We start from the raw sequence: 13,476 nt of genomic DNA, 5'->3' as shown, positions 1-13,476 counted from the left end.
CCTAGGACTGACTAATAGCGAAATTCAGCATTACTGATGAAGAACTAAGCCCTATAGGGGTCCTGGAGGAGAGAGATGAAGTCACAGGTTCAGCAAGTTGATAAGAAAATATCCTATTTTGGAGATATATATCAGCAATATGGGGAAAAAATAGTGAAAATTGGCCTTAGGGGCCAGCGGGTATAATAATGTACAAATAACAGTCACTCTTACCCACATATACACAATTAACATTGCATGGGATTGATTACTGGTCATATTTTACTGCAATTATTGATTTATATAGATCTTTTTCACTTGACACTCTTCTTTTAAGGGCAGGAACTTGGCTCAAGTTCAGCTTAAAATCATCTCAGATGATTGTTCTGATTTTGTTTTTCAGCCACCTACACAAACTATGTCCAAAGGCTGGAAGCAGCAAGTCTATCAGGGTGGCAAAAGATGCATTTCTCTTATTTCCAGGAAGAAAATCCTTTCCAGAAGTTCCCCCAGCAACTGGGATAGCAGTCAGAAGCTTGCACTGAAGGCCAAGCAAGCAAGCATCTGGCTCTTTCAGATGTTTTGGTGGGAAATGAGCAGAGGAAAAGTGGGGCGGGAGTGGCTCTAACTGGGCTGCCAACAAGAAGAGAGGCTCTAGAGACAGAAGCAGATTGGAATCTGGGCACCATCACTTACTGATTGTGAATGTCTCTTATTTCTTTATTAGCATTTGGTTTTTATTCTACAAAATGGTATTTGCCTCAATAGGATGTAAGGAAGTTTAAATGAGAGAGTGCTTAGCACTGTGGCTGAAACATGGCAGTCCTTCATGAATGCTAGCTATTCTTATTTAACCATTGCGATACCTAGCTTAGGGAGGCTGTAAATAGGGAAAGTGAGTCAGTGATAAAGCCCTTTCAAATTAATAGCTAAATCTGAACAATAAGATTAAAATATAAACCTTACTGGAAAATACTGTTATTTCCACATGAAATGGAAATATCTGAAAACAGAAAAACATTTTTTTCTTTTGGTATCTAAGGGAAATATTAAGGGCATTTCATCTACTATTGTTGGATAGCATTAAACAAATAAATATTGAACTTGTTAATTTTAACCTAACAGCATAATTCAATAGACCTACATATTCCTTTTTTTTCTTTTTTTGGTCTTATTTTAAAATTAAAATTTATTTAAAAACAAAAGAGATGGGGTTTCACTGTGTTGACCAGGCTGGTCTCAAACTCCTGGCCTCAAGCACTTCTCCCATTTCAGGCTCCTGAAGAACTAGGATTACAGGTGTGAGCCACTGTGCCTGGCCTGGGTATAATCTTAAGGGGCTCAAGTGATTGATCTAAAAATATTATTTCTTATAATTTGCTTTCTTTTTTAAAGCAATAGAAAGACTCCATTTCTTTTTGAGTGAGTATAATGAAGAAAACATGAGGAAGTGTTCCTTTTTTGAAACTGAAGGCAAAGCAATACAGAATTTTTTGGTGGGGGCTACTTTCAAGACTTTGCCGCTGCTTTTTGACAAATATCTCTGTGGTAACTTGCTAGGAAGTACATATCAATATAACTCTACTCCCACTAGAGGTTCATCAATTTCACCTGCTGGTAGCCAATATCTTTATCTTGCCAATGACGATGAGAGGCCACATAATATAGTGTTTATCCTAGAGTCTAGGTTGGAATCCTAGCTCCATCACTTACAAATGGTTCCTTCATCTTTCCACATGTGTAAAACAGTGTCATGGTAAAGACCAGAGGAAATGATACATATACAGCACTTCATGCGGCTCTTGACACTTCATAAGTGCTTATAAAGATCAGCTATTATTATTGCCCTTAATGCAATGCTATACAACAACAGATGTTGAGTTTCTAATAATAGTCATCTACCGTGATATGGTTTGGCTGTGTCCCCACCCAAATCTCATCTTGAATTGTACTCCCATAATTCCCACATGTTGTGGGAGGGACCTGGTGGGAGATAAGTGAATCATGGGGGCAATTTCTCCCATACTGTTCTCGTGGTAGTGAATACATTTCACAAGATCCGATGGTTTGATAACCCATTTCACTTGGCTCTCATTCTCTCTCTTGCCGCTGCCATGTGAGGTGTGCCTTTCACCTTCCTCCATGATTGTGAGGCCTCCCCAGCTACATGGAAACGTAAGTCCAATAAACCTCTTTCTTTTGTAAATTGCCCAGTCTAGGGTTTGTCTTTATCAGCAGTGTGAAAACAGACTAATACATACCATTGTAGTTTTTACTTAATGGCACTATTAGTTGCCTATCATTCTTCCTTGGTACAAGAATCTCTGTTTTGTTCAGGTGGCAGGTATAAGTCCCTTGTCTCACAAAAGGTGTACCCAGCCCAGTGCCAGGGCCTGAACCATGATTCATCTAAGTCAATTTGGCTATTCCATTCAACTTTGCCAGTGACTGGTCTAAGGGTAGGCATATGACCCAGTTCCTATCAGAGAGAAGCAAGAGGAAGTTTGCTGAGACCTTTATCAAAATAATCTTCTTGTTACAAGAAAGCCCTAACCTGGGCCTCCTTCCTTCCTGACTTAAGTGAAGCAAAGATATTTGGAACTGAGGTGGCCATCCTGTGATCATGTAGTGTGACCAGTCCAGAGATTGGATGGTCTAGGTCTTTGAGCTTCTAAGCCCACCTGGAACCTCCCATCTCCAGGCTGTGGGTTGGGCAAGCTAATTAACAGTCCCATCTCCAGGCTGTGGGTTGGGCAAGCTAATTAACAGTCTTTACTCTTTCAGCCCTTATGAGGTTATTCTATCATTTATAGCAAAAGTATACTAAAATGGCACCCATTTCAAATTACTAAATGGAAAAAATATGTTCTATGTAATAACCATAACACTGAACCTGTGAGTAGCATGTTACTGAATTCTGATTAGTAACAAGGGATTTAGAAATGAAAGTCACTGATTTCAAAATCCTACAGTAATCATTTCCAGTTTGTATTTTTTTCTCTCTTCTCCCTCTGATTCTTTTCCTTTCTTCCCTCCTTCCCTCCCTTCCTCCCTTCTTCCTTTCTTCTTTTCATAAAGTGGTTGACTAATGGTAGACAATATAATTTAAATGTCCACTCCTCTTCCCCTCTAGAAAGTGGTGCTAAGGATTGACATGGTTAACAAAACAGATAACAAAATAAAGGAAAAGAAGCTAAGATAAAATGGATTTTTTGATATTTAAAATGTGCTAGAATCTTCATTCTCACTTATAATTTTGATCTTTCTTAAAGTTCAAACATTTTAAATTGTTAGTTGAGAACAAAGTAGTTTACTCTGCCAGATGAAAATGGGCCAGGTTTTCAAACACCTTCAAAAATTGATCTCTCAATTGGCATGAACTAGGATTAGCTTTCCTGTAATGATAAGCACTGGCGGTTTCTTATAAATGAAACATAAAATCAGCAGGCAAGACACAAAAACATCTCTGATTTTCCTATTCTCTCGCAGCTGTATTCAATCAAGTAAAACAGAAGCGAGACAGGTTGTCTTGCACCCTCAACCTGGAAGAGAAGCTGACAACAGGCCTCAGGGCCACCACCAAATCATGAGGAAAGTGAAACAAAACACTCAGTGTGTGACCCTCAAAACTCCCTAAGGAAGCTGAATTTCTCATTAAGAAAGTAGATGACTGGCTGGGCACAGTGGCTCATGCCTGTAATCCCTTGAGGTCAGAAGTTTAAGACCAGCCTGGCCAACATGGTGAAACCCCGTCTCCACTAAAAATACAAAAATTAGCAGGGCATGGTGGCGGGCACCTGTAATCCCAGCTACTCGGGAGGCTAAGGCAGAAGAATTGCTTGAACCCAGGACGCAGAGGTTTCTGTGAGCCCAGATTGCACCACTGCACTTCAGCCTGGGCAACAAAGCTAGACTCTGTCTCAAAAAAAAAAAAAAAAAAAAAAAAAAAAGCAGAAGATTAATTTTAGGGGTGTTAGAACAAGTGATACTATAGCTAAGTCCATGTTGTCATTCAATTGCAAGCCCTCATTTTTAGGGGAGATTTGTTAAACATGTAGTGTTCATAAACTAAAAGTTGAAAAGCAGACTTTTTTAAAAAGAAAAACTTCAATTTGTCTTTTAATTGGTGCTCTTACTTGTAAACACGAGTTGTAAACTCACTGGTTACAGTCTGCTATGTTCATAGGCAATCTGTTCACCTAGAGCAACTTTTTCGTTTTAAAATTCTTTAATGCTGTCACAGAGCTTTCTACCTAAGCTGTAGGCATTAAGTAAAGGTGAACCAAAGATGTTTCAGACAGATTTTCTAACAGCCTCTTGCATTCTTATGACCTTTCGTATTTCATCATGGGTTAACTGAAACATGATATCTACTGAAATGTAGGAGAGTATCCTTTAGCTGTATCATCATATATTTAAAAACCTTCAGAATGCCAGCAATTTCCATAAACACCATATCTCACTTTATAGAAAAAAAAACATGCCTGTGTCCAGACCAAGAATACTGGCACTTCATATTGGAGACAATCCTGTTCAGATTTACTGAGTTAGATATACAGTGATTTAACTGCAAAAAGTAACAACAGAAAGAACCTGATAGGCTGTGTAGTGTGACAACTTCTTCTTATTCAGAATACTGAAAAGCAAGCCAGTCCAAGAAGCTGACCAACCTTAGAAAGTTAGGCTTGAGATCCAGCCACCAGTTATCAGTCAAGTTCAATAATGTACAACTCAGTCTCCTTCAGTCTGGCTTTAATGGTGCAGGAGAAATAACTGATGAATATCATGATGTTTACCGAAACCTCATTTTTCAGTGGAAGTATTCAAAACCCTTCACATTAATCAGTGACAGACAAGTGTCAGGTTTGTTCCTTTCGTATAAGAAAATGAGAGAATGAGAAAGCCAAGGTCACACACAGAAAAATAACAGAAAAACAGAGAAGAAAAACCCAATCTTGTATTTATACAGTTCAAACATTTTATTGATTTGACTTACAAAATAAACCATCTTATTGATTGGCCAAATCTCTCCTGCATAAACATAACATTCCAATGGAATTTTACCAAAGTATTGCCCTAGTTAATCTAATACCCTATTCTTTTCATGGCTGCCAAAATACATATTTACCTATTTAAGGCTAAACTCAAAGAAGTTGGCCTCGTGTTTCTTAAGCATAGGAAAAATTTTTAATGTAAATTTAATTGTATATTTCCATAATGTTGTGCTTATGGCATTAGCTGAGAAATCCTGGAATTGCAAAGCTGTCTTCCACTGCTAAATTACTTTGCACTTTGCAATTGATTAAGAACAGCAGAAGCAGTCAGAGTTGTATATCAAATTAGAGTTGATAAAAGCACTTAATGCAGATTTGAATGCCTTCTCAAAAAAGATTTCAACTCTCTTAAATTGACATGACAACAAATTCTTACAGCAGCATAAAAAGTATTAGCTGAAATGTTATGGCTTTGGCTTAAATTTCCATCTGCAGCTCATCAAATGACTAAACAGTAGAAAGGAATTAAACCAAATCAGACTCATTACAGAGTCTGATATGCTGGCAGAATATAAACTTTCACTGCTTAGCATCTGGAGTTTTGGGTGACTAACATTTAAATGCCTGTGCTTGTATATTCTGTGAAAAATAGAAAAGTGTAAGAATATAGGTGAGATATCTGATCATTAAATTTAACTTACGGAAATATATAATTTATTTTCTCTCTCACACACGTATGGGGGGGGAGGTGGGAGAGAGACAGAGAGAGAAAGAAAGAGAGAGAGAGACAGACAGACATAGCCCTTCTCTGTAATCACCCAAGTATTTTGAAGAGTGAGAGAACCACTCAGGATGAAAGACAACTGGCTTTAAATTTGTCCCATTGCAAAATTCTGATAAACATGGCAACTCCTCTTCACATTTTTCTAATGTAAGGAATGCCTGTCTGAAATGCTTGCTGCCCCATATTCTGAAATCTGGTCAAGTGTTCCAGGGTAAATAGCTTACATTTCCTCTTCTCCTTCAGCCATCTGCTAGAAGAAATATTTGAAATTGTTCTTACAGACCATTGCCTGTACTTCTGATGGTTCTCTGATGTAGTGAAAGTACAAATCCATAAAGTTAAAGTCAACAGAATCTATCAAACACATTCTCCCACAATAAAATTTTCTAGGGCCTACTCTGTCTCTGAAACATCATTGGATACCTCTCCCTAGGATCCCTGAAGTCCTGGAAACTTCTGCATTAATGTAACTGAATTCTGAATCGAACAAGGAAGGAAAGGAAGCTCTGAGAGCCTGGATGAAGGATCCAGGTGGGATGCATTTATGAAGCTCCCAAAACAAAGTGTGTGTTGTGCTTAGTTGATGCTCAGTAAACAGGTATTAAATAGTGCTTGCCTTGCTTCTCTGACACTGTTGCATGTTGGAGCAATAACCAAGAAAAATTAATGCTTAGGTAGTAAGATTTGCAGTATAATCCAGCACTGAAAGGTAAGTAAAGATGGTCTTATGGAAAAGCCCATTCCCATTGTTTCTCCAAGCCTAGAAGATGCAACCTTTTCAGCTCAAAGAAAGAGAAAGCATTCTCTTATTCACATAGCTGGCAGTTCAGTGATGGAGCAATGTTAAAAGGAATATGATGAATGGCATCTATCAAATGAAAGACATTAGTATGAAAGAAAATGAGGTTAAGTTGTGTCTTATCTTGTTCCACAAATGCCATTCGCGTTTCCAGGAACTGGTTACTTGCTAAATCTTCTGCACTGGGGTAGTGTGCAAATGGTGGATGGTTTCCAGAAGGCACCGCACTAAGAAAAATTATAAATGTTTAAATGTTTAAAAAAGAGGACTAAGAGAAATTCTAGGGTACAAATAAATTCGGAAAATCGTAATACATATGTTTTTGGACAGACTTACCTCTGTATTTCTTAAGTGATAAATACCAAGCTATATTGCATTTTTTAAAAGTTCTACATGAAGGTAAATACCATGGACGAAGATTATTATTTGTTCATTTAAATCTGATCTGAAACTTCTCAAAATATACCTACATGATGCCATGTGGGTATCTCATGCCACACAAACTGAACTTAGGAAGAATTAAGTCTTATTCTAAACCAGGAGCATTTAAGAAGAAACTAGCTAATTAATACTCAGTGCATCTCACTCGTCAAATGAGGTAATGTGTTTGAAGGTGCTGAGCAAACTACAAAGCACTAAATAAATGTAAGGTTTAGTACCAGTAACAGAACCTGCATAAAAAGCTTATATCTTTGTCTATTAGTCTACAGAACAGCCCCTAACATAGTAAAATGTCATTTCTCATTAGCCCAAACTCACATCTGACACCAGTTCAGTGTTAATATCACATAAGACTCAGAAATATGGAAGTTACTAATAAGACGATTAGGATATATGTAACCTATTTGACTCCTTAAACTGTACCCAAAAGTAAACTACTGAGTCATGGGTATTAAAATGTTTTGAAACAGCTGTCTGTTTAGGGTAGGATAGGAGAATCTTTGCATGTTATATCAGTTGAAACCTCTAAATATTGGCAACTTTCTCAAATGTCTCAGCTGTTCTCAGATTGTAAAATTATCCGGGTCATCTCTTCTTGCCTACTGCTGTTTGCTTTTCTCTTTCAATTCTTGTTGGGACTTCATCAAGCAGCATTCAAGAGCAGGCAAGTAAGTCAAAATTTATCTTGGTGCTGCCAGTCCTGTACATGATTTTATGATGGAGCAGGCCAGAGCTATCAAGTAAATGAGATACCTGAATTATAGATAGATTTCCATTATCCCTGGAAATATTCTCCCTGATCTCACTGCTAAAGACAATTAGTGAATTTGCTACTGTTTCCTAAACAGAAAAACAATATATCAGAGAACGCTCAGCAAGGCAAGCAAACTACCATTCTAAAGTAAACATCATTCATGCTTTTTTATTTACTTTTGAAACTAGGGAAAATACACATAAAATACTCCTAACAGAAGAAATGTGCCTTATTACTATAATCCTATTTTGTGAATGTCTATATACATTTAATCAAATGATCATAGGGCACAGAACTGTCTATGTATTGTTTGCAATAGACGGAAAAGACTTGTGAACACTTAAGGTCTTTCAAATAGGCCTATGCTGAGGGGATGGTGCTCTCCAGCACGTGTGTGTGTGTTTGTGTGTGTGTGTGTGTGTGTGTGTGTGTGTAAAACAGAGAGAGAGAGAAACAGAGAGACAAAGAGCAGGGAGGGAAGGAGAGAGGGTGAAGAAGGCTAAGAACTGGCAGGGACATCAGCCAACAAAACTAAAAATGAAAGTACCTATAAAGCACTAAGTTCCTCACAGTGTTCTTTATCCTTTGGTCCTTTGAGTGATTAAAACAAACAATGCAATTATCACCTGGACTGGGGGAGGGGTTTATGGAGCTTACTACCATCCTGGCTTTGAGCAAATCTCTATCTCAAGTCCTGATTTTTTTTTTTTTTCATCGAAAATGTGCATGACACTTAAACTCACAGGGTTATTGGAAAGAGTGAAGATAATAAACAGAGTGGTCATATGGCGTCCTTTGCTGAGGGCAGTCCCGGTTTGCACCCAGTGTCTCAGCATAATTATTAACTTTCACTCTCCAAAGTGTCACAGTTGGGAAAAACAATTTTGTGGTTGCCCTCTATATAAATCATGGAGCATAGTATTTTATACAGAGTGGCAGTTATTGTTATTCAAGAACTGTTCATGCATTTGAATGGGAAAAAAAAAACCCTCTGATTTGTCTTAATCATAAGCCCAGGGATAGATCCTTTCTATTTTGAGAACATGGATGTTGATTTGGGGTTTTATTTTTCCTTAGAGCTGTAAACTACGTTAGCAGAAGTGACCCCGTGGCCTTAGAGAGGGTGTGGATGGGACACTGGAGTAAGTCTCCTTCTAATTGCCTGGAGCAGTGCTGGGTACTTCCTCTATTTAAAGAACCCAATTAAATATGCTTGCACTTGATCTGTACCCCTTTGCTGGATTTAGGCAACTCAGTTAACCTTCTTAGTTTTCCACTTCTTTCAACCAAGTCTATACAGAGGTTAAAACTGAAATTAATTTTGAGATTTTCTTAAGCTTTTCTCATAGTGTCCTTCAGGTACACTTGCAACATAAACAGGCATCAATAAACACTGCTCTGCAGAGAATCTGAGATGTTTTCTAACCTCACTTGCACATGACTTTTCTCTTTGGCCCCAGAGCTGACCTCATACTAACCAGTATTTCTAGGTTGAACAGATCCTGGGCTTATCACTACAACTTAACTCACTACAACATACCTGAAAAATGCTGAATCTGATGCTCCTAAGTGATGCAAGATTTTTCTACAGCAACATTAGACATTTCACAATGCACACCAACACCTTCCTACTGCAAAGAGATTGTTCAGTTCCCCAGAGCAGTTCATTTGTCAATGAAATTCTAAATATGCGAAAGAGTTAATGGGCATTCAAAAGTTTCCCTCGATGGTGTAGCAAGATTTGCCATATGTTATAGGAAGGATTCACACTGCCCTGGAAAGAGCAAGGTGTTGAACAGATTCTGAATGTACCTTCATTCATTGGGCCCTGTGTGTTCATCAGGCATCCTGGGGTGGACAGAGACACAAGGACGCCCTTTAGAGCTTTCAGATTAGTGTGGGGGCTCACACACCAGCTCTGTGAAATGGTATACAGCAAGCCCTTCTCTCCTGGAAAATAGCTTGAACTATCCACTTTAAACTTGTTCTCTAGCAAACCTAAGAGGCCAAAGTGACTTTCTGCCACTAAGAAAATTCCCAGACCAACTCCCAAGCTGCTAGAAAGTATGCACTTAGGGTAAGTGGGATATTTTAATAGTAAGTGAGGTAGAAAGTTAAAGTAGTCAAGGGGTAAAGTTAAAAATGTAAATCTGGGAGAAAAAAAACCAGCCCAAAATAACCAACTAATTTTGACATTTATTTATGTAGTTCTCTTCTCTAGAGTGTAGCAAGTGTTGATTACTCATAAAATAACCCACTTTGGATGCCAAGGCTAAGGGAAGACATGGTCTACATCCGATTTGAAGTGGATTTAGAAGGGAGGAGGGCATTAGAATACATGAATATTATTTTAATGCTTATTGGGCATTTACAATGTGCTAGGTATTGTGCTAAGTGCTTTACATCTTAATACCTCATTTACTCCTATGAGGTACCCATTATTTTTGCGTACATTTTACAGATGAGGAAACTGAGAGTGATTACTTAACTGTCCGAAGCCATGCAAGTGCAGGAGCAAGAGATCTGAAGCCCATTTGGCCCTGCCATTTTTACATTCTAGGTAAGCGAGGCCTTATTAGGAGACTGATGGGTGTACAGGCATGAATTTGGGAGCATGTTAGTTAAATACAGAGGAGAGTGAGTAGATTAAGCTTGGTTGGCTGGAGCAGAAAAACATGAGAGAGGATGAACGAGGAGCTCAAAGAGGGTCCTGAGTGGCTACCACTGACACTCAGAGGCAAAAGGGAGCTGGGGAGCAGCCTTTGACTGTGAGGACACCACTGGAGCATTCCAGGTTAAACTGAGAAGGGCATGTGGAGGCTGTGGCCATGATTAACAAGGGGCCGCAGCCGTGAGAACCACTAGACAGCTGGGGAAAGGCTGGATAAGAGCAGGGAAGAGCAACAGGACAGACATCCAAGGGGACAGGAAAGCCTCCATATTCAGGTCTACATAGGACATTTTATTTCCAGACATCAAGGCCATTTTAATTCCCACCTCCATTCAAATCAAAGGGCAGCATGACAGAGTAGACGTGCCGATAAAGAGGAGAACACCAAAATGAACATCGAATGAAAGCTAGTACATCTCACTAGCCAGCGACTGATCTATTTATTGGCCTGTGAATTCTTTGGAGGGGACTAATATATATATAATTACATTTTCCCCACAATGTGCCATTTAAAAAAATATGGAAAGCTTTACCTGGAAACGCTTATGGAATTACCTTTCTTCTAACACCTTGCAAAACAGCCAGTCATAGTTATAGAGTTTGTTTTATTGCTTTTTAATTACTGCACTTTTGTAAATAAGCACCACCATATAATTAAGAGGCTGAGTCTCCATTCAGGTATGTGGGCAGACATCCTCACCTCTCAAACTTGTGAGGCCAGGCATGCGCGTGCAGGTGCATGCAGGTGCAATTAGCCGCTTGCCTCATGGTGCATCCTCTCAGCCAAGGTTACACTGAGTATGTTGAGCCTTAGGGCTTCTGTTTCTACTTTGCCTTCTACACAGACAAATTCCTTTCTCTCTTTGCTGCTCAAAATATGTAAAACTTAGCAATGAGAACTATGCTAGATTGTAAGCAGGTTAGTGTTGTAACAAGCTTAAAGAAGATAAACAAAGTATATTTCCTCTTCCTCTTTCAAGAAAGGACTGAAAAACATTCTCCCCCTCAAAAGAATGCTGGAAAGCCACCAACTTCACTACTCTGAAATAAAAAAATTAATATAGTGGGCAGGGACTGTGTCTTATTCACCTTGTGTAGCCCCACAGCCTGGCACATAGTAGGTATTCAATAAATATTTGCTGAATGAATTGGAAGAATTCAAAATTGTATCACAGATATTCTCAAAGTAGAAATGAACAGTCATTTTGAATCATTTCCTGAAGTATGTATGTGGGGAGAGGAGTTTAGGAAGGGTGGAGAGAATATATACTTTATCTAGAGTGATTTGAAAATAGACAAGGGGAGAGAAATTTTTAAAAGAAATCCCATTGGCCTCAGTATTGTCACAACATAATTTTCTATTTAATGATGCAATGACAAAAATTGATGGAAGAAAACAGTCTGGTCTTGGAATAATCAAATATGTTTAAAAACCACGTACTGATGTCAACTCAAAAGTGAGTTTTTTCAGTTATTGGAAAACTGCTCCATAAAGAACACTGTATGTCAAATTCTTTTCATTAATCAAAGAGCAGATAGACAAAGGAAGATTCATCCTTGAGTGTAAAGTATTATAAAAATAATGAGTCCAAGTTAAATGATTTATAGCTATGACAAGTAAAGAATGCTGTTTGGGCAACAGTATTACTCCCAAATGGCTTCCCACTTGTAGAAAAACAGCTTCAGACAAGCCCCATAGTGTATACAGTGGTGCAAAATGACCTGGAAAAAATGGTTTCTATGGATATCATTTAGAGATGCACATCCCTGAATACCTTAAGGCTGAAGGTACTTTAGCTCTTTTCCTCAAAGCAATTGCAGCACAGGTTCTCCTGCCCAGGTTTTGTTTATATAAGAACAATCTTGGCCACAGGTCATTTGTGTAGGAGACAATTAATCACTAGCTCTTTGAGCACAGGTAGGTTAATCAGTATGCACATAATACAATATTAAAATTTTCACGGGGAAAAAATTTTTTTATTTAAAACAATAAAGCATCAGTAATACCTGCTGATCTTTTATCCAAAGCAAGTACAAAGGCTGTTAGTGAAATAGAGAAGACTTTCTTTTTAAACAGTTCGGAAAATACAAGGCATCATTGATCACCTGAAGGCCTCATTTTAATTTGATTCCAGATCCACGGCAGCTTAGAGGTTGTCTTTTTGAAATAGCGTATTGCTAAAATCCTTATGTAGGTCAGAAATGGAACTTCAGGAGCCATCATATTCTGCTATCCTAATAAATAATTAGGGTCAGAACCTCACTTGTTTATGTTTCAAAAAAGCACAATATTTGGACTATAGCAAACATCAGGATTTTTAAAAATTCAAATATTAAATGGCATTCAGAACATCATCCACATGGAAGAGGGAGAGATGAAATAAATCTGCAGATGCCTCTATATACAAAAAGGATGTCCTAGGTTTTGGACTATTAAATACTTTTCTTTCTTCAGACAATACCCTAAAAAAACAATTACAAAGTACTCTGAAACCCTGCCACACCCCTTTGATTAAATCACACTTCACAAAATATTTAGAGAAAGCCTGAACAAATCAAATAAACATCAAGGCAGGAAATGCAGCCAGGAATGCCTGATCCTGAGCTCCCCCAGAGTCTGAAGGGCTGCCTCACTTGAAAATTTAATCAAACACAATCTACTGTAATTCCATTGCAGCCTTTGCACTTAAGGAAAGCTAGTTCAGTCTCTGACATTTTGATTTTCACAGCAGATGGGAGCAAAAAAAGAAAGAAAGAAAGAAAGAAAAAGAAAGAAAGAAAGAAAGAAAGAGAAAAGAAAAGAAAAGAAAAAAAGAAAAACTTCCGCGGCTCACAAACATATGTGTCCAGTTGAGATTTTCTGTCTCCAGCCTTATGCAACATCCAGCAAACAAACAAACAAAAAGGTTATTTTCTATTACTCACTATTACTCCAGGATTTCAGTAAATATTTGATACTGATCTCAAAGAAGCCCGAATCCTGCTGGCTGGCCATGTCTGCGGCATACAAAGAGGCTGGGAGGACGGGCAGCGGCCGGGAGCAGGTACCGGGCG

At 38.3% G+C, this 13,476-nt stretch overlaps 1 protein-coding gene across 4 annotated transcripts in view; it reads right to left on the bottom strand.

Annotated features, from left to right (window-relative positions):
* FRY (FRY microtubule binding protein) overlaps positions 1-13,439 on the bottom strand; it is a 267,352-nt gene extending 253,913 nt beyond the window's left edge. For all 4 annotated transcript variants that reach the window (XM_047429999.1, NM_001411012.1, XM_047430000.1 and 1 more), the window contains exon 1: positions 13,348-13,439. In XM_047429999.1, the coding sequence (XP_047285955.1) occupies positions 13,348-13,417 (70 nt within the window). In that variant the 5' untranslated portion in view covers positions 13,418-13,439. The remainder of the gene's footprint in view (positions 1-13,347) is intronic.
* Positions 13,440-13,476: the final 37 nt, after the last annotated feature.

This window comes from Homo sapiens, chromosome 13 (assembly GCF_000001405.40).
Source record: "Homo sapiens chromosome 13, GRCh38.p14 Primary Assembly".
In the NCBI taxonomy this organism is placed as follows: domain Eukaryota; kingdom Metazoa; phylum Chordata; class Mammalia; order Primates; family Hominidae; genus Homo; species Homo sapiens.
This window is presented reverse-complemented; position numbering and strand designations above follow the sequence as displayed.